This window comes from Homo sapiens, chromosome X, assembly GCF_000001405.40.
Source record: "Homo sapiens chromosome X, GRCh38.p14 Primary Assembly".
NCBI lineage: Eukaryota > Metazoa > Chordata > Mammalia > Primates > Hominidae > Homo > Homo sapiens.
In genome coordinates, this window is record NC_000023.11 from 130,886,736 (window position 1) to 130,910,284 (window position 23,549).

General features: G+C 40.4%; 1 protein-coding gene across 17 annotated transcripts in view, besides 5 other annotated features; it reads right to left on the reverse strand.

Annotated features, from left to right (window-relative positions):
• Nucleotides 1-16,474, reverse strand: part of ENOX2 (ecto-NOX disulfide-thiol exchanger 2) — a 280,885-nt gene extending 264,411 nt beyond the window's left edge. For 14 of the 17 annotated variants that reach the window (NM_001382521.1, NM_001281736.2, NM_001382520.1 and 11 more), the window contains exons 1-2: nucleotides 16,314-16,474; nucleotides 14,949-14,996 (exon numbers count right to left, since the gene is read on the reverse strand). Coding sequence is in view for 3 of the 17 variants with exons in the window: in XM_011531245.3 (XP_011529547.1) it covers nucleotides 14,949-14,951 (3 nt within the window). In the remaining 14 variants the exon portion in view is untranslated. Of the gene's footprint in view, nucleotides 1-478; nucleotides 815-14,948; nucleotides 14,997-16,313 lie in introns of those variants that run through there. The other 3 variants (XM_047441766.1, XM_047441770.1, XM_047441771.1) reach the window with 1 other exon arrangement.
• Nucleotides 15,840-16,359: an enhancer, noted in NCBI's record as "H3K27ac hESC enhancer chrX:130036549-130037068 (GRCh37/hg19 assembly coordinates)". NCBI's record gives its function as "activates a minimal SCP1, AML or CMV promoter by ChIP-STARR-seq in primed H9 embryonic stem cells {active_cell/tissue: H9 hESC(primed)}" and the evidence as "EXISTENCE:reporter gene assay evidence [ECO:0000049][PMID:30033119]".
• Nucleotides 15,840-16,879: a biological region, named in NCBI's record as "H3K27ac hESC enhancers GRCh37_chrX:130036549-130037068 and GRCh37_chrX:130037069-130037588".
• Nucleotides 16,220-16,489: an enhancer, noted in NCBI's record as "active region_29946". NCBI's record gives its function as "activates an Ori minimal core promoter by ATAC-STARR-seq in GM12878 lymphoblastoid cells {active_cell/tissue: GM12878}" and the evidence as "EXISTENCE:reporter gene assay evidence [ECO:0000049][PMID:35858748]".
• Nucleotides 16,360-16,879: an enhancer, noted in NCBI's record as "H3K27ac hESC enhancer chrX:130037069-130037588 (GRCh37/hg19 assembly coordinates)". NCBI's record gives its function as "activates a minimal SCP1, AML or CMV promoter by ChIP-STARR-seq in primed H9 embryonic stem cells {active_cell/tissue: H9 hESC(primed)}" and the evidence as "EXISTENCE:reporter gene assay evidence [ECO:0000049][PMID:30033119]".
• Nucleotides 16,500-16,689: an enhancer, noted in NCBI's record as "active region_29947". NCBI's record gives its function as "activates an Ori minimal core promoter by ATAC-STARR-seq in GM12878 lymphoblastoid cells {active_cell/tissue: GM12878}" and the evidence as "EXISTENCE:reporter gene assay evidence [ECO:0000049][PMID:35858748]".

Here is a 23,549-nt window from a genome sequence, read left to right on the forward strand (position 1 = left end):
CAAACAGATGTGTCCTGGAATGCTTCCTGTTTGAAGTTTCCCTACTCTTAGGTATATCCCAAATCTATACAACCAATTAACAAATACAGGAGTTAATAAACTCTAGAGAAACATAACACACTAAGTGTTTAAAAATTGCTTTTTGCTTCCAAAGCACTGTCTTCTGTGCAAACACTCTAAGCTATATCACATACTACCAGTTGCAGACATAAGACTTGAGAAATTCAATACAAGAATACAGCAGAGAAGCGTGCACAATTAAGGGATCGGGACTACCAGTTTAACAGAAAACGCAGATTTTATACAGCAATCTGCTACAAACATTATAGCTGGGGGCAGGCATGTTTTATGCAGCTATTTTGTTTAGCTCATTAGAACCCTATTTGTCCTTCAGTACAGTTGAACTGAAGGAAAAATAAAAGAAAGAAATGCACTTTGAAACAAAGGGGAAATTCAGATAAAACAAAACATACTATACCTGTATATTGTACCAGGAACATTGTGACACTCTTCAGGGAACTGTTTCACGTTGTATCCTATCGTGAGTTATTCTCTCCTTACCCTCTTCTCTCCACAAGAAGAAAAGCCAAAGCACCCCAAACCCCCACTATACCCTATCCCTAACCCACCCACCCCATTGAGGAAAAAGAAAAATAGCTATAATTCAGCTTAGATCTGACGCTTCTGTTTAGCTCAGCTCCAGCCGAGCAACTGAGCTTCAGCAACGGAGCATAGGGAGGAGGATTCTGATGCCAGTAGCACTTCCATCCACTTCACTTACACAAAAGCAGGCAGTGGAAAATCCAGGAGCCTTGAAGACAAGGGCTGGAACTGGCTTTTATGAATTGCTATTACTGCATGTGTCACCATCCATCTCCAATGACGGACACTTATAGGCTGAATTGGGAGTGGAGGGGGTGGGGTGGAGGAGGTTGGAGAGCAGGTGGAGAAGCAATTAGCAGTATGTTCATTGGAGAATTCGTTCGGGATTTCATACATCAGTGCCTAAAGAAACAGCATGCAGTTGACAAATCAGAACTTTACGATTTGCATGCCTTGGAAGAAATCTTAGCTCACAGCTCCAAACAAAATAATGTTTGCCCACTCTTACAGGGCACAGAAAGTCACCCCTTTGCTTTTTCTTTCCTCTGGCTACCCTTATTCCTGAGAAATCAACATTCAGAATGAATATTTGCTAATTTTCCCTAAAGAATTGTATTTTTAAAAGGCTGGAAGCAAAGGAAGTATAAAGAAATTAAATTCTATTGAACATGACATCTCTTAACACAAAGGCAAGAAGCTAATTATTTTAAGGCAATTCTTCATCCCTAGTCCCATTCCCCAAGCGCAGCTTTCACACCTATAATCAGTGGATCACACAACTTTTGTCCATATATTTAACACTGAAAAACAAATCTATGTCTACCTAAAAATAGTTCAGTTAAAATGAAGGTGAAAAGCCAAGAGCTATGTGCAGGACCCACTTCATTAGGTGACTTGAGAAAGCACTTTACATGTAAGTGCTTCAGTTTTACTCATCCACTAAACTAAAGCTCATTTTTAGACGGATTTTAAAATTAATCACGAGTAGGAACAAAAAGGAGATAGTGTCTTTGGGAGGAAACATGATACAACCGAAGGAGCACTGGGGCTGGGTATCAGGAAACCTGGGTTCAGCTTCCAGTTCTACAACTTTCTAACTATGTGACTCTGGCCAAGTCACTTAACTTCTTTGAGCCTAAGTTCCCTTTATTTGTTAACTGGAGATAATAGTACCTATCCTGACTGTCTCACAGGATTGCTGTGAACAGCTAATGAGATAATAGGTATGAAAACCCTTTTGTAAATTGTAAAGGGTTATACAATTGTATGGGATTATTACTACCATGCCCTAAACAAATCTTGCCTTAATGATTGAAGTGAGGCACCTCTATCACATAAGGCAAATAAAAAGAAAGAACTAATATAATTTCATGAAACACTGCTCAATTCTTACAATTTTTAAATTAGACGGAATCGCTGTTTGCTCTTAAAATTCTATAGCAGGGAACGTTTTTGAGAAAATTTTAAAATAATACATCAAAAGTTTATTAAAGAGACTGGAGCCCTCTAAATTCTCTCTTTCCTTTCTGGAAAGTCAGTCCATTTTTCTTCATATGGTCTAGCATTATGTCCCATCTGGAATGCAAACTACTAGATAATGAGCATCTCCTTTTGTTCAAGCTTTCTATTTGCCTGTTACATCCTCATTGCCCAGTGTGTTGGGGGAGGATTCAAGGTGATTAACTAAATCTAAATCCACAAGGTAAAAATCCAAAGTTATGCTTTATGAGGCTCCAAGCTGCCTTGATCCTATGTATACAGTGACCAGCTGGCTTCAGCTGGGACACAATTTTAGCACATGAAGTCCTGGGGTGGCCACACCTGGGGCACTAAATGATCCAGGCAATGTTTGGGGATCTTTGGTTCAGCCAAATCCCACATGTCCTGATTTCCATCTGTATGGTGGTTCCCAAGTGTGTTTGTCCACATGAACCAAATCTGAAGCAGCCAAAAGAAAGGTGGGGGATAGAGCAGGGATATCAGATGTCAGCTCCTCTTGGTCCCATCCAGTGCTATCTGTGCCCTCAAACAAGTGCCCATCCTACTTCTTGTAAGAAGAAAGAAAACTTTTTCTAATTGCCCCTTTGAACGTCATTGCTACTACTGAAGATGCCAGTAAAATATATATCCAAAATCTATGTTAAGCCAATTGGGAAAAGGATAATATTAATCACATAACAGGTAATTGGTAGCTAAGAGCAAGTGAGCTGCTGAAAGGGGGAAGGGGAGAAAAAGACAAGAGAGGAGGAGGGAAACAGAGGGGAGGGGTGGAGAAAAGAGAAAATGAATCTAAAGTGAGAGCTTTCTAATCAGAAACATACTTGCTGAAATCATCCAAAGTCTCACCTACTATAATAAAAAGTGCTTGTCTTTTGAGGTATTGGGAGTGGCCCCCTAACCATCAAAGCTGCAAACCTAGCCTTCCAACTGCTTAGGGAAACAGTCAAGAGCCTGAAAAGGTACTGACAGCCCTAGCACCAGATCTCACTTTCCTCTGCCATTCAGAAAGTGAGTCAGGTGGGATACAATTCTCCAGAGGCCTCATCCCTGCTACCGTCCACCACAGCCTCACTGGCAGCATGGCTGCCCACTAAGGAAGGTGTCAGTCCAATTTCAGGTTCAGCAAAGGAGGCTTGCCTGTGACTTTTAAAACCACATTGGTAAGAAAGGAACAAAGGCTGTATTTCAGAATAGGACTGTTCTCCCTTTGGGCATTGCAACTAAACTCCTTCACAAATTTAAGCTTGAAATTCATATTCCCCAAGTTCCTCAGAAGGGCCATTCAAAGTAAAGGGAAAGGACAGGAAAGATGATTTTTTTTTTGTTAGCTTCTTTCTGACAGTCAAAAAATGAGGAATATGACTGACAGAGTGTCCCAAAAGGCAATGAGGTGGGAGGCAGTAGTTTCAACCCAGGTTAGCAAGAAGGGCAATGAAAGCATCCTTATAAAAACAAACACGCATACCAAAAACCATTGCACTGTTTCCATTATCCCGATTTCAAGCTCCAGAATGTAAGCACTAATGGTTCCCTAAACCACCCAAGCTCCTCCTCGGCAGCCGTCACCAAGCCTGACTGATTTTTTTCAAATGAATTTCCATCACTAGCCACCCCAGATTCTGAGTATTTTTGTCAAAAACAAAAGTCCTAGTGGAAGATTTCAAAGAACTAAGAACTTGAACCAAACCATGAACTTAAACGGGAAGACACAGAACTAATTTGCTAAATTCCAAACAAAACAGAAATTGTAACAGTTTGAAAGCAACAAAAACTAGCAAGCTGATTTGAACCAGAACAAAGTTTCATGTTTTCTGAATCAATCAAACTTGCACCAAACCCTGAGAGTCTAATCAGCTCAAGCTCCTGCAAAGAACACACAGCAAGGTTTGGTTTCACCTGTCTGAAAGCTGACAAGGGAACCACAGAATGAACACTGGATAAGGAGTCAGAAGAACTGACGTCTCCTGATTTTCTTCACTGTTTGATCTTGGTCAAGTCACTTCTACTCTCTTAGCCTCAGCTTGCTTGCCATGAAATGGCCAGGCTGGGATTGCCAATATCCCAATATCCCAGTTTTAATAGTCTATGCCAACTGTGGAATTTAGTCTAGTGATGAAACAGATAAAGTCACAATTTAGCCTTAATCTGCAGGAGGCAGAGAGATGGACCACCCCAACTCTTTTAAGGATTCATGTTTCTAGCTTATTTTGAAATATACTTGGCCGGGCATGGTGGCTCACACCAATAATCCTAGTACTTTGGGAGGCCCAGGTGGGAGGATCACTTAACCTCAGGAGTTCAAGACCAGCCTGGGCAAGAGAGTGAGATCCCACCTCTTAAATAAATAAATAAATAAAATTTTAAAAAGTTTTTTTTTTAAAAGAAATACACTTCATTTAAGAGTTGGTAACTGTCCTTGTTCAGCCTCAGAAATAACCTAATATACTTTTTCAGAATGTCTCTCCTCAAAAAAATGTTTCAGGAATAGTTTGTTTTCCTCAAGTGAAAGTTACAGATGAGTTGTTTGGTCCAATAAAAGGAAAAGGAAAGAAATGACAGTGATCTAGTATAGGCTGAGCCCCTATTACATGTCAGACATGGCAAATTTTACATAATTTTCTTAACCAATCTTCACAATACAACACTATATGGTTTTTTTTTTTTTTTTTTTTTTTTTTTTGAGAAAGGATCTTGCTCTGTCACGCAGGCTGGAGTGCAGTGACACAATCATAGTTCACTGTAACCTTGAACTCCTCGGCTCAAGTAATCCTCCTATAGCAGACACTTTTATCCTCACTTTATAGGCAAGGAAACTAAGGCTTACTGATGCTAAGTGACTTGCTTACAGTACTTGACTGGTACTGGGATTCGAACTCAGGCAATTTGAATCCATTACTATAACAATATCTTAAGAATTAAAGGAATAGTTCTTAATTCACTGATTCAATTGGACTTGCTTAGTGAATAAATTACATGCTGATTCAAAACAGTGAAAGTAAATTTACTTGCATTTATACTGGGTTGACATTTTTTTAAATTTCATTTTACAGTTTGGTATAACGGTTAGGAATACTGGGCTCTGGAGTCAGGCAGACCTGAATTTCTTGAATTCTGTCTTATGGACAATACAGTTAACCATGCTTTGTCTCAAGTTTTCTTATCTGAAAAATGGGGAGGAAGTAGTCCCTACCTTGTCAGGCTGTTGGAAAGTGTCAGTGATCTGATAGCATCTCGCATAGTACTTGACACAAAATGACAACTCAGTAAAGACCGATGAAAGCTATCCTTGTATTCACAGCAATACAAGAAAGAAAAGGTTATAAAGGAAAACGACACTGGGATTCACTGAATTTAAGTGCTCTTTGGTTATAGCACAGATATAGTTTGGAAGGTTTTCAGTGGTCTCCGTACATTCTCCAAAACTAACTTGCATCTTATGGTAAATCAGCATATTCATGAAGCAACATGAATACATTAATTGGGGTTTCCTAAAGAGTAGCAAGGAAACTTGTCATGTGCTCTGCTTAGCAGCAGTTGTCCCTAGTTTCCTGGAACCCATCCTTTTAAAGAAAAAGCTCGGAAGTAGCAGACAGTACTGCTGGAAGTACCAGGCAGGTGGAGACATCCTGCTTTCCCCCAATTCTTCAAGCCCTGGCTTCTTTCCTATTCACCTGTGGCCCTCTTCTCAGATTCCCTTCTGTCCTTCCCCAGTTTATTCTGGTTTTATCATGATTCTTCCTCTGGCACTAGCTCTGTTTCTGCTCATCAGCATCAAGTGCTGTCTATGGAATGTGTGCCTTGCACGACACTAGGTGAAATAGAAAGTCATCCAAGAGTTAATGAAAAAGACATGTGATCCATGGCCAAACAGATCTAAGATACACAGACTAGAGTTTTGGCAACACAGTAAATGCAGGTATAATGCAGGATGACTTGGTTGATTTCAGAGCACAAAAGAGTTTGTTCATCTAGTTAATGATATGCATAAAAAAATTTTTTAAAACTGTACTAATGTCTGCCACTTAATCTGAAATGCAGAAAAGAATGGATAGATTAATAGGTGATAAAGCAAATACAACAAAATGTTCATTGTAGAATCTAAATGGTGAGTATCTGGGTGTTCAATGTGCAATTCTTTTAACTTTTCTCTGTATTTGAATATTTTCACAATAAAAGGTTGACGAAAAGGAGAGGGGGAAAGGGGTATGGCTTATTCAACCACAAGTGTTTCAGAACAAAATAATTATAATTATATAGAAAAGTATAAAGCAAATAGGGCAAAATAATAACAATTGGTGAATCTGAGCAAATGGTATATAAGAATTCTTATATGATGCTTGCAATTTTTCTATATTTAAAAGTACTTCAAACTAGAAAGTTAAAAGATAATTTGTTGAGCACCAACCTCTTTTACCTAGTGTCTCAGTTGCCATTTTCAGTAGTGAGGGCATTGGGTTAATAGTAGAGATATTGGAAACAATGGTGGAAGGGTGGGGAAAAATAACAGTCACAGATATATATTGGGGGCCTACTATATGCAAGACACTGTGCTAGGCACTTTGGGGAATTCAAAGAAGTAAAAAATACAGCCCCTGAGAGGGCTCCCACTGTAAGTAATGGAATGCCAAAGCAGTGTCTGAAAGGGTAACTGGCTGGAGCAGAGTTCTGTAAGACAGAAGTACAAAGATTAGAAAGGTAGGTTGGAGCCAGATTGCAGACAGTACTAAAGGTCAGGCTGAAGAGTTTGGACTTCATCCTATGGATAATGGGAAGCCATTTACAGTATCTGAGTCAGGGAAAGAACATGATCTAAAACTGACTGGCTAGATGGTACAATTTGTTTGGGCACAGGTACCTTCAACATGCATTTGTTTTATATTCATGTACATCTGGTACGTCTATCCACTTCCCATATCTGGATGTGACGTTTAAGGATTTCCAACATGCTGGTTGCTGCTTATTTTTCAAATAGCCACTTCCTGACATCTCTTCAGCCTTTCCTTTTTCCTCCCCCAAATCCCAAGGGCAGCTGACCAGCACGTGCCTCAGCCCTGCTGACTCAGCAAGCAATAAATACGCCTCATAGAATGCTTTTGAAATGAAGCTGCTGTGCTTCAAAACTGATTTCTTTCCTTCATGATAATCAAACCTCAATTACTGCTGGAATCACTGATTTGAGTTGGAAAGAATGAATATTCATCTGAGTAACATGTGAAGGAGTGCAGGAAGTTATGTCCTGTGTGCAGAAGGAAACAATTGTTCAAAGTGATCTCTGTATATGGAAAGAAACCCTAGCAGAGATGGCATTGCTGAATAGTAGCAAGTGATTAGGGTAAAACCTCTCAAAGACTGCCAAATTAGAAAGTGGACTTTATAATCCTTTGGATATACACCCAGTAATGGGATTGCTTGGGTCAAATGGTATTTCTGGTTCTAGATCCTTGACCATGGCACATGTATACCTATGTAACAAACCTGCACGTTCTGCACAGTATCCTAGAACTTAAAGTAAAATTTAAAAAAAAAAGAAAAAAAAAAAAGAAAATTTCCTGATGTCTATGATGGTATTGTAGCTATATATGGAATATCCTTTTTTTTTTTTTTGGTAGAAGATTCAAATAAAATATTCAGAAATGATGAAGCATCATATTAAAATTTTATTCTCAAATGGTTATTTTAATATTCTTTATACCATTCTTTCAACTTTTTTCTAAATTGAAAGTATTTCAAAATAAAAATAATAAAAAAAAAGAAAGTGGACTTCATCTGTCTTCAGCTTTTCCCCCCATGAAGTCCAACCTCCAGTGCAATCATGTTACTCCTCCCATTTAAAACCCTGTGTTCACTCATCCCTACATATAGGACAATGGCCATACTTCTTAGCAAGCTGACTTACTTCACCCAACCAGCCACAGGATACCTTTCCAGACTCTTATCCTGTCCCCCTTTCCCATGCTTTCAGTGGTTCACACACAATATCTTACCTTTTTCTGAACTATGCAGTTTTACACATTTGACTGCCTTGCATGTGTTGATGGTCCCTCTGCCTGGAATCCTTGCCCATCACCTCTTTGTCCACATAGAGACTAGGCAATGCCCCTCATCCTTTATGATTCAGCACAGTTAGACTCTGATCTCTAAGTTGTCCACCCCCAGCTGTAATTCCCTCCTCCATATTCCCAGAACACCTTCTCTCTCTTTTGGGTGCTTTTCACATCAAAATACGATCACTGGTTTGAGTGTCTATCTCCCCTATTAGACTGTGAGCTCCTTAAGGGCAGGGATTACATCACATCAAATTCATTATTATAGTCCTGGTGTTTAGCATAGGGTCTGGTCCTGTATATATGCTCAAATGTCTATTGAATGAATGAGTTTGAACATCAAGTACTCCTTGAAGTCAAACTCAGCATCTCTTGAAAGGTGAAAATTAGAATGGTATGTGACCAGAGTAATCCTAGTGAAGTATGTTTGAGGACCTGACTGAAGAAAAGCTGATAGGAGGACACCTTATGGGGGCTTATTGTGGGGCAGTTTCTATCCCAGGAAACTCTTATTAGCAGTTGTTGCTGGCTAAAAATGAAGAGCAGCTGGAGCAGATGACAAGGGCCCTTACTGGGGATTTCTCCATCCTTATCTTTCATAGTTCACCACTAAAGCAATGTTGTTCTCTGAAGTAACATTTTCCATAGTGTCTCAATTCTCCTGAATGATTGCCATATTCATTTGTGCTCTGCCTACCGAGGCATTTGGACCAGCTTTGTTAAAGTGTGGTCACTGAAAGCTCTTTGATTCTTCTACTCACCTATCGTTATTATGCTAAAGAACAACATTTTGTGAGTAAGAGACCACTGAAAAACAGAGCACCAGAAAGGGGAGGGAAGCAGAGCTAATAAAAATTATCTTTTTTCTCCTCCTAGATTGCCAATGTATTTCACCATGTTTCCATCCTACAGTGTTTTATACTATGTATCAGTAAAGGCAAAAAAAGGAAAATTAAGACTTCAGCAAAACTTTACACTTTGTAGGCAAGAAAAAAAGGAAGCAACACTGAGGGATAGAACATAAATCTTTAGACATATGATCAGTAGCCATTTCTGAAAAGTACACATTTGGGCTGTTTTAAACAAATAGCAAAAAGCAATTAGGTCTTTCTGACTAAACTGAGGTGTATGCTGATTTCTTTTTTTAAACTAAGTCTGTTTTGATCTTCAAAAATGTCAGACTGGTAAACACTTTACTTTTTTGCACATATAAATCTAAGAGCCAAGCCTAGCTTGAGGAAGATTTAAGAGACATAAAATTTGTCTGAGGTGTCTGCCAAATCTCTACAGCAGAGACAGAAACCCTGGAAAAGCTGACACAATCATAACTCTCACATCACCAGCAGGCTTGTGCAGGGCTGGGAAGCACAGAAAGTCACTGTTCCTTCTCTCATACTGTTTGTAAACAGAGAAGCAGATCATTTGCTTATCAGCTATCTGGTAGCTCATTTTTGCCTAGCTATCCCACTGAGAAAAAAAAAACAAAAAAACACACATCCCCACGGGTACATATCCCAGTTTTCAGCTGGGTGAATTTTCATTTATAAGATGGGCCCGCTTGTTAAAATTTTCTCTTTTATTTGCTCTTGAATTCTCTTACTCTTGTGTGCTTGCTTGCTCTCTCTCTCCCTTGTTCTTTCTCTTTTTATACAGAAGGCATTAAAAGGGGTATTTATGAGTATCTAGTGCAGTGCCTAACGGAGTGCTTTCACATAGTAAGCCTACAATAATTCATCGAATGAAGTGAAACCCTATCTGTAATTTCTACATTCAAATTATTTGATCATGTAGCAGGAAAACTATAGATTTTTTTTCCTGGAGTATTTAAAAGTAACAATTCCTTATAAAGAAATATTTTACTCAGATGACTCATGCTTAGGACTTCCATCCCTTAGAAATCATCCATTTTTGCACAATGGGTATTATCTGTAAGGAAAATGAAGGGAAGACTACACTTCAGGATCCTGAATGACCACTGATACGTTATTGTAGAGAAAATCAGATATCCTATATACACTCGACTGTATGTCGTATGGTAATCCACTACATATGTCTAAAATCACTTAACAATGCAAGAATATAGTGCACACATGGGCTGCGTTCTGTAAGTAGGATTAACTATTGAATTCAACCAAGGTCTTCCCTGGGGACAGATTGCTGGAAAATACATCTACATGACATTTAAAAAAATAAATTAACCAATGACATCGGCTCCCATGAGACACATTGTTTCTTGTACATTCAATTCTATCACGGTTTTCTGTAGCTCTCTGTTGACATACCCATCCCAAATGACACAGAATTTCAAAAAATAAAGAAAAACAGAGCAACTGGAGCTATTCCATCTCTCCTGTGTGAAGTGTTATGTACACAAAGGAAAGATTTCCGTACATGAGCACAATGTGAACCACGACAGGGTGAGATCATGTCAGTTGGCTGTTCTTGTTATGCTGTGGTCACATATAACTTGCCCAAGGGAGTGTACAAAGCCTGTTTTCTTCCTGACAAGGACCAGCAGGGATTGCTGGAAAATAAAGAAAACAGAGTTATGGCAGGAGGTTTTAAATTTTCTCTTTAAAAAATGCCCTTTATTATGATAACTTTTCTTCTCGCTTTGATGTATTTAGTTTTCCTCATCTGTAAAATAGGAATAACTATTTTATGTGTTTAATATTTTTGCTCTGAGAATTAAATACCAGTAGATTGCCTGGCATAAAATAGCTAATCCATACAGTCCACATCAACATTGGCTAACATTAATTAAATACCTATTATGTGCCTGCCACTGGCCAAAGACCCCCCAAAAAAGTAAATCACAGAAGGAAAACCTAATACTAGAGGAGCAAGCAGGGAGCTGATTTTCAAAGCTTTTATCAGGCAGTCTAAGAAGTCTGGATATTACTCTGAAGACAATGGACAGCCTTTGAACTATTTTATATAGAGACCAGATGGTTTTAGATTTGTGATTTACAAAAATCATTCTGTCAGCATTGGTAAAGAGTAGACTAGAAGGGAAGCAGGCTGGAAGCAGCAGTAATCCAGGCTAGAAGTGATGCATGTGTGTTGGGGGGTGGAAGGTATGCCCCAAAGTAAGACAATGGTGGACACCGGGAAAACATTTTAAAATAACTTTTTTTTTTTTTGAGACAGAGTCTCACTCTGTCTCCCAGGCTGGAGTGTAGTGGTGCAATCTTGGCTCACTGCAACCTCCGCCTCCTGGGTTGAAGCAATTCTCCTGCCTCAGCCTCCCGAGTAGCTGGGATTACAGGCGCATGCCATCACGCCCGGCTAATTTTTGTATTTTTAGTAGAGACGGGGTTTCCCCATGGTGGCCAGCCTGGTCTCAAACTCCTGACCTCAGGTGATCCGCCTGCCTTGGCCTCCCAAAGTGCTGGGATTACAGGTGTTAAGCCACTGTGCCTGGTCAAAATAACTTTTTAAAAATTAACAAATATACTGTAGATTAGAAAATAAAAATACGCAAAAGGTTAAAAGTAGAAGTCATATGCAATCTTACTACTTGCAGCAAACCCCTATTAATATTTTTTTGTGTGTTTACCATTACAGGATTTTTCCTATGTATGCCTACACAGATGTGTGTGTGCGTGTGCGTGTGTGTGTGCGTGTGTGTGTGTGTATTATGTATATGTTTTTAAACTGGGATCTGTCACTCTGTACTGAGAGTTCTATGATGTGAATTTTCTCTTAATATATCAAAAACAATTTTCCACATCATTAAATATTGTTTGGTAAAATCAACTTACAAGGCTACTTAGTAATCCATTCTATAAATGTACCACAATTGATTTCATTCAAATCCCTAGTATTGTACATTTAAGATGTTCTTTTTTTTCTTTTTTTTTTTTTTGTTGTTTTTGCTATTAGTATAAACAACTCTGGGATAGATGTCCTGAGTATTAAATTTTTGGAAACATCATGATTGTTTCCTCAGCATAGAGCTCTAGAAGTTGAAGTGGTAGGTTAAAAGCTGTATTCTATTAAGGTTTCTGATACATATTGACGAATTGCTCTCCAGAAGAGCTGTATCAAATTATAGTCCCAGCAGCAGAGTCTATGAGTAGGAGATGAACTTGAGAGTGATGTCAAGGACGGAGTGTACTGGACTTGGGTGGGTAGAAGGAAGGATGTTTCCTGGCAAAGTATCAGGGCAGGAGGAAGATGAACTCTGTCAAGAGCAGCAAAGTAATGGGCAGGGCTAAGGAATAGGTGCCTGGATAGGTAAATGATAGGAAAGAAAAAGGTAAGATAACCAGGGGAGAGTGAAGAAAAGAGGGAAAAAGTAGGTCTTTCATGAAATTATGGGCACTTTAATTTACTCCTTTCTTCAGCAAAAGTAGCAAATGTAGCAAACAGCTAGTCTTTTCATAGCATTTGGCACTCTGTGCTACCAAGGTCCCCAGTTATATTCATGCAAATCTGTTTATCAATTCTTTTCACCCAATAACCATTTATTAGGTGACTACCATGTGTCAAGTGCTCTTCTGGATGCTATGGGTATGGAGATGAATGAAACCTGGTCCCTGCCCTCAAGGAGTTCACAGTCTAGTGGGGAACACAGAGACATCCACAGACCGACACCCTACAGTGTGGTACAGGCTAGGACGGAGGTAACTAAGTGCAGGGTCCTGTGGAAGCCCGAGGCCTAACATTGCCTTGTGCGTGCATTCATGTATGTTGGGCAAGGGCTGTCGGGAAGGCTTCACAGAGGTGTTGACATATGAGCTGAGTCTTAAAGGCTGAGGAATTTCTTGCATGCCTAAGGGTCACAGATCATGGTCATATTCCTAATCAGTGCCTTGAATATTTGTGCTACTGCTCTCAAGGACACTGAGTAAGGTGGGAAGGATGTTTGTGTGTAATCCAAATCCACTCGAGTGGTAACTATAGCTTCCATTGTAATCTTAATGAACATAGAAACATAGCATGTTTTGGCAATATTATTGCTCACCATACAATATAAAGGACAAGAGGCAAGGGGGGCATGCAGACTTTTAAAACAATTCTGGTAACACTGACAAAATAATATTAACATCCACCAAGTCCTAATAATTTTACCTCCTAAATGTTTCTCAAATCTCTTCGCTCCGCTCACGTCACTACTCTTGGGTCTTTATTGTCTCTCTGTGGAACAGAGTAGCAGCCTCATCATATCCACCTCCACTGTATCCTTCCCACTGTCATTTTCCTTACAGTAAAAATCTGATCGTGGTGCTCTTCTAAAACATGTTAATGGTTTCTTATGGCCTACAAGCAGCACTTCCCAAATTTCAGTCTGAGTATTACTTAGTGATTTTTACCATATTCACACACAATGTGTACTATTACTACTTAATATTTGTCTTTAAATGAACTGAAAACTGGTTCACTTTCTATTTTTATGAAGTAAAATCCAAAGTAATCTTAGATGTGATGGCTTAGTTCAGTTTTATGTTTTTTAAGACATATTTGAACATGTAACTAGTAAAATTAAAATGTTTGTGGGAGCACAGTGTAACTACCACTGGCAGATGCCCTACGTTTTGAGAACCACTGACCTATGGGGGCACATTCCAACTTAGGATTGCAATCAAGGTTCTTTGCAAATCAGCCCCAACCTCTTTCCAGACTCTTCTCCTACCCATTACAGTTTCCTTTTACTCAACTATCTGCACTCCAACCATGCTGAATTCTTCCACATTGAATGAACATGCCCTACTCTTATACAGCCACACATCTTTCACAGACTGACTCCTCTATCTGAAATGCCTCCCCTCCACTCCTTCCCTGCCTGGGGCAAACTCACTATCCTTCAAGACCTATCTCATGTCACCTCCTCATGGAAGCCTTCTCCCCGAGTCTCCCTTACAGTGAGTCACACCTTCCTTTATCCCTCCATAGCATTTTGTACCTGTCTCTGTTATACTACACACTACAGTATCTCAGAACTGTGGGCATCCAGCTCCCCAGCTAGACCCCAGGAAGAGTTCACACCTTGTACTTCATTGTTTCTCCAACACTTCACGTGGGCAGAGGTCATGAAAGAGATCTAGTGTCCCAGGTAACTTCTTAAAATGCTAAAATAAAATACATCCAAAGTGCTATCAAGGTCCAAATAGCTTAGAGGTATGATATGTGTTATAAAGAGAATCATCTAATTCAGAAATAGCCGTACTGACTATGGTTTTGGCAGACACAATTAGCTACAGTTGCAATGACAGTTAATTTGGTTTTGGCAGCTACTTTACAGCAAATACATTCTGACATAGAAATTTTAAGTGAATCATTTGGGTTTTGGCCAGGATGATGAACTATACCTATCTCTCCTTACCACAACTGGAAAGTCAAGAACAAGAAAGAACATTGGGAGCAGCAAACCATGTTGAACAGAGCATGGGCTTTGGAGTCAGAAATCTGTACACCCAAACCTCAACTCAACTTATAATCTATGTGACTTTAAGTAGATTGTTTAACTTCTGTGCATTTTAGTGTTTTCTTCTAGAAAAAGAAACAGGAATAATAGTACCTACTTCATAACACTCAAGATAATGCAACAAAGTATTTATGATGATGACTAGGACATTATGTGGGTTCAATAAATAGCAGTCATTATTGTCACCCAATGAGATGACTACAGTTCAGATAATGTGATGCACGGGGACAGCAAATGCATTTCTTAAGAAAATATATCGATGTCTCTAGGCTTTAAAGTTGACAGCTATAGACTGTAGCTAAGAATAGCTACAAACAAAACATCTGCAAGACAAGCTTCTTCTTGGATTTAAACTCACACCTGGAACATACCATCACACTTCTTTGTGTTCTCCAAGAATTGATCTCAAATCAGGTTCCCTAGGATGAAAAGAAAAATCATCCAATCTTAATTTTTGCCTTCAATTTTATTTGATACAGAATAATATCCAAACTATGTGTATGTTTCAAAGTATCATGTTATTATGACCCCAAGCTTCTCCACCCTATTTATTTCCCAGTATATTTGTGCTGATATCTTTTATTCCAATCAGGCAAGCCCACCTGTCTCACAGTGCTCCCTCTTCTGTTTACCCTTCTCAAAGTCCAATCTCAGTAGCAGGAAGCATTTTCTCCCTCCTCTTTGACAACTTCAAATCCCCTGTACTCTGCTGGAGCCCAGATTAAAATTCACCTCCTTCACAAAGCCTGAAAGCCGGATGAGGGCTTCAGCACTTCCCGGGTTAGGCTTGAACTTCCATAGATGAACTCACCACCCCCATCAGTATGCTCTTCCACTGACCCCTCTTAGCGTTTTTTGCACACGTTTGTAATAATACAATGATTAATATGGTCTGTTTCACACGGTCTACTTTATTCTGTAGAATAAAGGTGTGCCCCCTAAATGTTTGTCAACATTAGTGCTATCAGTCTTTGCTGGAAACCCCTAAAGCGCTGGATTTTTATAACCAGTCTAACTTGCCTTTTACTCTCACCAGAACCCTGCACTGAACCTTAAACACACATTTCTCAAAAGCAAGATTCCTTCCCTCTTTTGCTTCCCATCCCTTCTAGAAATTGAGGGGAAACTCTCCCCACTTCAAAGACCTGGTGGGGGAAGTGGCAGGTGGCTGAGGGGCCAGTAAAGAGATGGCGATCAATTAAGGAGGCAAAAAGAGAAAGTTTGAAAAAAAAAAGTCACGCCCTGAGCGTGGCAAGGAATTCCCATGCCCCAAAGAAAATGGGGAGTGTAGCGCAGGGAGGGTTATGTGCCCAAACCTGAAATACAAATTGAGGGAAAAGAGGAAAGAGATCACCCAATTCCTGCGGTAAGAATTAGAGTCCAGTCACCGCCTAGGCAAAACCCTGGACGCAAACCCCAACTTCGGACCTCTGAGGAGGCACAGAGCCAGGGGGAGGGGGGCGGCGTCGTGGGAAAAAAAAAAAGGGGCGGGCGAGTTGGACCAAAAAAAAAAAAAAAAAAGAGCAAAGACAGCGCGCTCCCGGGCTCAAGAGAACTGGCGCCTAGAGCTCAAAAGCCCACCCCCGACTCCCAGTCCCGATACCCCCTCCCCTGCAGAGGTGGAGCTGGGTGGAGTTAGGCGCTGAGGACCGCGGCCCCGGAAGCACCCTCCTCCCTAGGCCCCCTCAGTCCCACAGTCCCCAGCCACGGCCACCGGGGCTTTCTGCCTCTCTGACCTCCAGCTCCCCGGCTACCGAAGCGCTAGTCCTTATACAGCCGCGGAAAATCGGGCCGGCGCGGCAGTTCCTGGGCTCGTAGTGCCCTCGCGGCGCCCCACGCCGCGCCACTCTCTTCCGAAATGCCCGCCTCGCGCTTCCAGGCCTAGACCCGGCACTCTGGCCCAAGGCTGGACTCTCACACACAGGGTGCCCACTGCGGCGTCTCCTATTGGCTACTGGTCACCGGGGAAGCCGGAGGCCCGAGCCCATGGCTTCATGGGAAATGTAGTTTGAGGTCGCTGGAGGCTGTTCTTCCTGGGGGTAACTCGTGTTGACATTGGCAGACAGACACAAGTGAGGACCGAGAATTATGGGAGATGGAGTTGCGGGACACTTATTTCTCTATACGCACAATTCTTCCCCTCCCCTTCCGATTGTCCCCAGCGTTCAGACGGGGAAGGGTATTCTGGGTATTGTAGTTTGGGTGCACTGTCTAGAGAATCTCTCTTGGGGTTATGGGTTTGTGCTTGTGGGGACAGACGAAGGCTCTAGATTTATTTTCATGTCGGTTAAGCTCTTAGCATTTTGCGGGAAGCACTTTCTATCGTGATTTGAAATTGTTATTGAGTTTTAAGTGTTTTTCAAAAGATGATGTTTATTCTTTGGTAAGCTTAGAATTTTAATTGAGAGTTATAGTCCTTTAAAATTGTTAAAGTGTGTTCCTTGTGAACCACCTGCATTAAAATCACTTGAAAGGTATGGAAGAATGTATATATTTTTTTCTAATTGGAAATTATAGTTCCCCCTGGAAACAGTGTCATAAATAGGCATAGAAATGTGATCTACACCAGCCCAGAAGAAGCCTATTTAATCCATAATGAAGCTATGTTGTTGCCATGAAAAACAGTGGCCACATAAACTGCTATAAATAACAATTTAGAACAGATAGACAATACAACTTAAGTACAAACGAGTAACTATATGTGTCTTTAAGAAACTTAACCTTTTGAGTAAAAATATGTTACAAGAGCTGGATAAAGACATAGGTGGGGAATGCCAAGCACTTCCAAGTGACTTAAAGGTTGAGGAAAATGGTTGTTTATTAGGGCTAATTTCACTCCCAACTTTTGACCTTTTTTTTTCTCTGTTAGAGATGAATCCTTGTAGCCTTGTTACAGTTGAATTACTACAACTTCTTGATGAGGACAACTTTTCGACTCACGAGTAAAATGAAGGGAAAGACAGGGGAATTGCATTTTGCTGAGGTAATTGCCCAATATTTTAAAAAGATAAGTGAAGGAGGAAGACGATTTAATAAATTCAACCATTTATTCAGCATAGTGCTTTGTGCAAAGCTCTGGGCTAGGCACTGTTGCCACAGAATTGGAAAAATAGTCCCTACCCTCAAGTAGCTCAAAATCCAGGTGAGGGGAGTTGTAGTAGAGGAGAATCTGGGGGGAGGAATAGATGAGTATACAATGTGCAAAATGCTGTAAAGAAGTCTACATAGGGTTCTATAGGAACATAGAGGAGGAAGAACTTGTTCTACTTCTGGAGAACTGGTTGAAGAACCAGTAAAATATTTGTCAGATTTGGGGCAGGGAGGTCAACCATATTCTATACAAAGCATATGCAAAGGCATAAAGGCATGAAAGAGTGCAGAGAACAATAGCAAAAGTTCCATATTGCAGAGACTAGATCAGGCAGCAACAAGGGGTCATATCAATTAGTTCATAATTTAACTTGAAAGTGGGAGAGAACCATCAGAGGAATTTTTGTGCTTATATAGTGTTTATTTTTTAAAGCATATACACATAGAACATACTGGGAACACATAGCTAGGGTATTATGGGGAATCATTCTGGAGGGTGGTAATTGAATTGCTATATTATGTTTTAATACTTTTTATACTTTTAAATTCCTCCAGGAAAATAATTTGCTTTTTTAAAAAAAGAAAAATCGGCTGGGTGCCGGGGCTCATGCCTGTAACCCTAGCACTTTGGGACACCAAGTTGGGAGGATTGCTTGAGCCCAGGAGTTCGAGACCAGCTTGGGCAACATAATGAGACCTTGTCTCTACAAAAAATCAAGAAAATTAGCCAGGCATAGTGGCGCATGCCTGTAGTCCCAGCTACTCAGGAAGCTGAAGCAGGAGGATCCCTTGAGCTTGGAAAGTTAGGGCTGCAGTCAGCCGATATTGTACCACTACACTCGAGTGTAGTGGGTGATAGAGCAAGACTCTGTCTCAAAAAAAATTAAAAAATTAAAAAAAGAAAGAAAAAAGAGAAAAAGAAAAATCACCTCATTTCAGCCATAAAAAGGAGTGAAACAAGGCATTTTCAGTATTATGGCCACCAGAAAAACATTGTGTGAATCAAATGCAGAATTTCTTTTCTCAGCTTTGTCTCCTTTCTTTTTATCTTTTTTTCCATGACTCTTTACTTTGATTTGATCATTGATTTCAAAGTATTTGCAGAGCACCTACTATGTTCCATACACTATGACAGGTTTTGGGTTTTAATGGTGAGTTAAAACATGGGTTCCTGTTCATCAAAGTATTTCTAGCAGGAAATGGAATAATCAGATGGAGTTGGTAGATGTGGAAAGTGAGAGACGGGGAGGAGTCCATTACGACTCCCAAGTTCTGACTTGGAAGACTAAGTGTATGGTAGTACCATTCACTGAGATATTGAACCTAGAAAGAATAGCAAGTTTTGTGAAGAATAGGAGGAAATCAGTTTTGAACATTTAAAATTTGAAGAGTCTGTGGAACTTTTGGTTGGAGATGCCTGATAGGCTGCTGAGAAATGCCGGTCGGAAGCTTGGGAGAGAGGTCTTGCTTGGAACTAAACATTTGGGAGACATTAGTATAATATAGAGGGCAATTAAATAAGTGAAAAATTGTTTAAACTTTACTTAGAGAGTATTTTTTTTTTTGAGACGGTTTCTTACCCTGTTGCCTAGGCTGGAGTGCAGTGGCACAATCTCGGCTCACTGCAACCTCTGCCTCCTGGGTTCAAGTGATTCTCCTGCCTCAGCCTCCCGAGTAGCTGGGATTACAGGTGCCTGCCACCACAGCTGGCTATTTTTTTTTTTATTTTTAGTAGAGATGGGGCTTCACTGTGTTGCCCAGGCTGGTCTCGAACTCCTGACGTCAAGTGATCCACCCGCCTCAGCCTCCCAAAGTGCTGGGATTACAGGCGTGAGCCACTGTGCCCAGCCAATTTAGAGAGTATTTAGAATAATAGTTTTTAAAAAGACAAAGATTATGGAATCCTGGAAAATAATGATATTCAAGTAGCAAGTAGAAGAAGAGATGCCTTCCAAGGAAGCTGAGAGGGAATGCCCAAACAGATGAACCAAGAGAAAACAAAGTAGAATTACTGGCATATATTACAGAGAGGTCAAGTAGCAGGACAGAATAGTAAGAAGAAATTACTCCTTCATCAATATAACAAGTTTTTATTGAGTACCTATAATGTGCCAGACATTATTCTAGATGCTGGGAATAGAGAAGTGGAAAACACATACAACATCCCTTCCCTTTGGAGGCTATATTCTGTTAGGAAGAAGCCATCAACAAACAAGATAAATAATTAAAATACATAGCTGTGATAAGTAATATTTCTTACTGTGTATGTCACAGCTGTGTATGGCTATTTCTGTATGGTGATATAAATACACACACACACACATATATATATCTCCAATAAGCCATATGGAAATTTTATATATAATATATAAAACATATCTATATCTCCAATAAGCCATACAGAAATTTTATATATAATATATATTATATATAAGCACAAATGTATACATATATTTGTATGTGTATATACAAACGTGATACTCTTTGGTCTGTTGTTATATAATAAGATGAATTTGTGAAATACTGGCCCAGGGTCAAACAGTCTGGCTGGATTCAGAGAACAATTAGGAAGTCAAGGTTAGAGCTGTATCCAGAGCCAGTGTAGAGCCCAGGTCAAGGCCAGGGTTCATGTGTATAATGTGGAATGTATTTAGCTTCAATCTTTTCTCAGGTTAAGATTTAGTAAGTCTGTAGCTGTTTTTACAGGCCATTGTGGATTCAGGATCAGAAGACCATCAAACCAAGCTTAGGGTTAAGCCTGATAGCAATATTAGGCCCCAGATTTAGAGCCATGGTTCAGTCTGTGTCACAGATTAAAGTGCATTTCTGACCACTCTGGACTAACAGCAGCCTCAGGGTGTTAAAGCTCACTCTGAGGCTGCTGTAAGTCTAGAGTGGCCTGGTTTATGAAGTCAAGGTGCAAGATTTGGGTTCAAATTTTGGCCAGAATTAGGATTTAGTCTGTGTGTAGGAAGAGGCCTCATTCTAAAATTAGAGTTAGGGCTCAGTCTGTGGACCAGACTTAGACCACACCCAAGGTTAGGGCTCAGCTCAATGTTTGACTTTAGTTTTTGATCAATGTTGGAATCACTTTCATTTCTAGACTTGAAAGTCAATAAAGGCCAGGACCATGGCTCTGCCTGGGATTAGTCTTCATGCTGATGATGTTGCCTAGGAAAAAATGAAGTAAGAATATGAACAGGATTTATGTTCAGTCTTTCTTCAGGTTAAGTTTCAATTCGTATTCATGGTTAGAGTTTATTCTGGGTCCAATAATTAAGTCTCAGTCCGTGGCCAATGGTAAGGCACAGTCAATGTCTAATATTCAGTCTGTTGCCATGTTAGGACATTACCTGTCATGTGCCCTAGAGCCTTGTCTCAAACCAGAGTTAGCATTTCATATATGGACAAAATTATGATACAGTTTGTGGCCAGGATTTCAATGATGAATATGAACAGGATTTGGGATGCATATTTGGCTAGAGTAAGTTCAAGGTGTGGTTTCTGACTTTAGCCAGTGTCAGGATTCTGTCTTTGTCCATAGCTCATATCAACAATGTTCTATGGAGCTAACTCACAGTGGCCTGTGTTGGCCCTCATTCTGTGGCCAGAGCAGGGCTCAGTCGGTGACCTGTATTAGCCATTTCAATTTGACCACTATCAGAGTTGAGTCTGGAGGGAGTAATTCCACTATGACTTTATGTAGCATTTGTGTTCACTGAGTATTGGTGGTAGTGCTATCTGATTAAACTTGTACCAGAGTTTGGGAGTTACCAATAACCAAGGTAAGGCTTACTATGAAGAAGGTTTTAAGGCTAAGAGTGTAAACAGGTTTTTTGGATTAGCTGTTGATGTTATTTGTCAGTCAGTGGATAGAGTTGAGATGAGAACAAACAACACATAAAATCCAGATTGAAAGCTTTAGAGGCTCAGGCTGTAATCAGGGTTTTGGGATCAGGATGTTGCCAGGGTTTGAGTTCAGAGTGTTCATTGCCTGTTGTCAGTCTGGCACTTAGACTCTGGCTTAGTGTAGCAGGCATTTCGGTATCAGTAGTAGAGTTCAGTCTTTGCTAATTGTTAGTGACCATAATGTGCCCAGTGCCATGGGTACATCTATTCACAATTGAGGACTAAGTTTGTGACCAGACTGATTGCTCAACCTCCAGCTAGTGCTAGGACTCAGTTTGTGGCCACTAATACAGTGAACTTTGTTTATGGGTTTAAGACTTGATATGTGACAAAGGTGAGTACTTAGTCTCAGCCTGTTGTTAGATCTGATAATATGAGCAGGATTTTGATTTAGTCTTGTAGGGTCAGGAATCATTTCTCTAACCAGGCTTAGGGCTTGGCCTTTAGGTCTCAGACTGTGGTGGGACTTACAGTCTTCATCCCAGCTCAGTATTCAGAATGTGGCCAGGAAGAGGGCTCAGATCTTAGCCATGGTGAGTTCCGTCTGTGCTCAGGGTTAGAATTAAATCTGTTGCAGGGTTTTAGGCCAAGAAAATGAAAAGTATTTGTTTTGTCTTTGTCTAGTTTGTCCTTCATTCATCTTCAAGGTTTGGGTTCAGTCTCTGCCCAGTGCTGGTGAGCAGCTTAATTTCTGGTATTAGGAATCAGTCGGTAGCCAGGGTTAAAGTTAAAGTTGTGGTTGAAATTGGGATCCAGTCTCGGGTGAACATTTAGCCAGAGATAGGGTTCAGTCTATCTCAAAAATTCAGGATCAGTCATTAGCCATTTGGAGAAATCAGATTTATTTTCAGGTTGAAAGCTCATGTCAGAGGTTAGGCTTATGGGCTCAGTCTGTGATGAGAGTTAGGAATTCAGTCTATGGCTAGAGTTAGAGATGCAGTCTGTAACCAGTTAGAAGCTGTAAGGTTTAGGGGTCAAATCAGTGGCCAGTGATAGGGCTCAGTCTGTCCCAGGATCAGTAGATTATTTCCTGATCAGATTTATGAACCCAGTCTCTGTCCAGGTTTAGAACTTGGGCTTTGAACATGGTTAAGACTCAGTTTGTGGCCATGTTCAGGGTTCTGTCTATAGTCAGGATTAGGACATATGCTGTGGTCAAAATATTCTCAAGTTTTGTGGAAGATTTGGTTTCACTTCTTGGCCATGATTAAGGCACAGAGTTGGGACAAGTTTAGAGTCTGGTCTCTGTACATGTTTTCGTCTCTGTATGAGGCCAAGTTTAGTAGTCATTCTGTTGCCAATGTTGGGGTCATTTTCTGGTTAGTGCTAAGTCTGGGAAATTGTAGCTGGGTTGGTTTCCAAGATCAGATCTCAGGCTGTGACCAAGTTAGAGCCTCAGTCTGTAGTCAGGGCTAGAGCTCAGTTAGTATCTATGCTGAGCACTCATTTTGTGGTCAGTTCAGGATGTTAAGTATATCCCAGAGTTAGGTCATGCAGTCTGTAGCCTAGTTTAGAGACTCAGCCTGGGGACAGACTTAGGGGCTATATCTGATGTTATTTTTGATCCCTGTATCGTGAATTAAGGACTTATACAGTAGCCATAGTTATGGTTCAATAGGGGATCAGGGTTAGAGATTCAGGTTGGGACCAGTCTTAAGTACTTACTCTTGGGCCAGATGTAGACAGTCAGTATGTAACTAGGCCTAGGGACTTGATTTAATCAGGATTAAGACCTTGGAGTGTGGCCAGAAAGTGGCTCAGTTTGTGGATAGAATTAGGGTCTTCATTTGTGGCCAGGGTTAAAGGCTTGGTGTGAAATTGGAGTTAAGCCTCCAAGTTCAGAGTTAGGAGTTTAGGCTATGTCTTGGGTTAGGTGTTTGGCTGGTGGTCAGGGTTAAACACAGGATCTGCATTCAGTGTTGGCAGCTTGCTCTGTGACCAAGCTTAAGAGACTGTTTGCTCAGCCTGTGGTG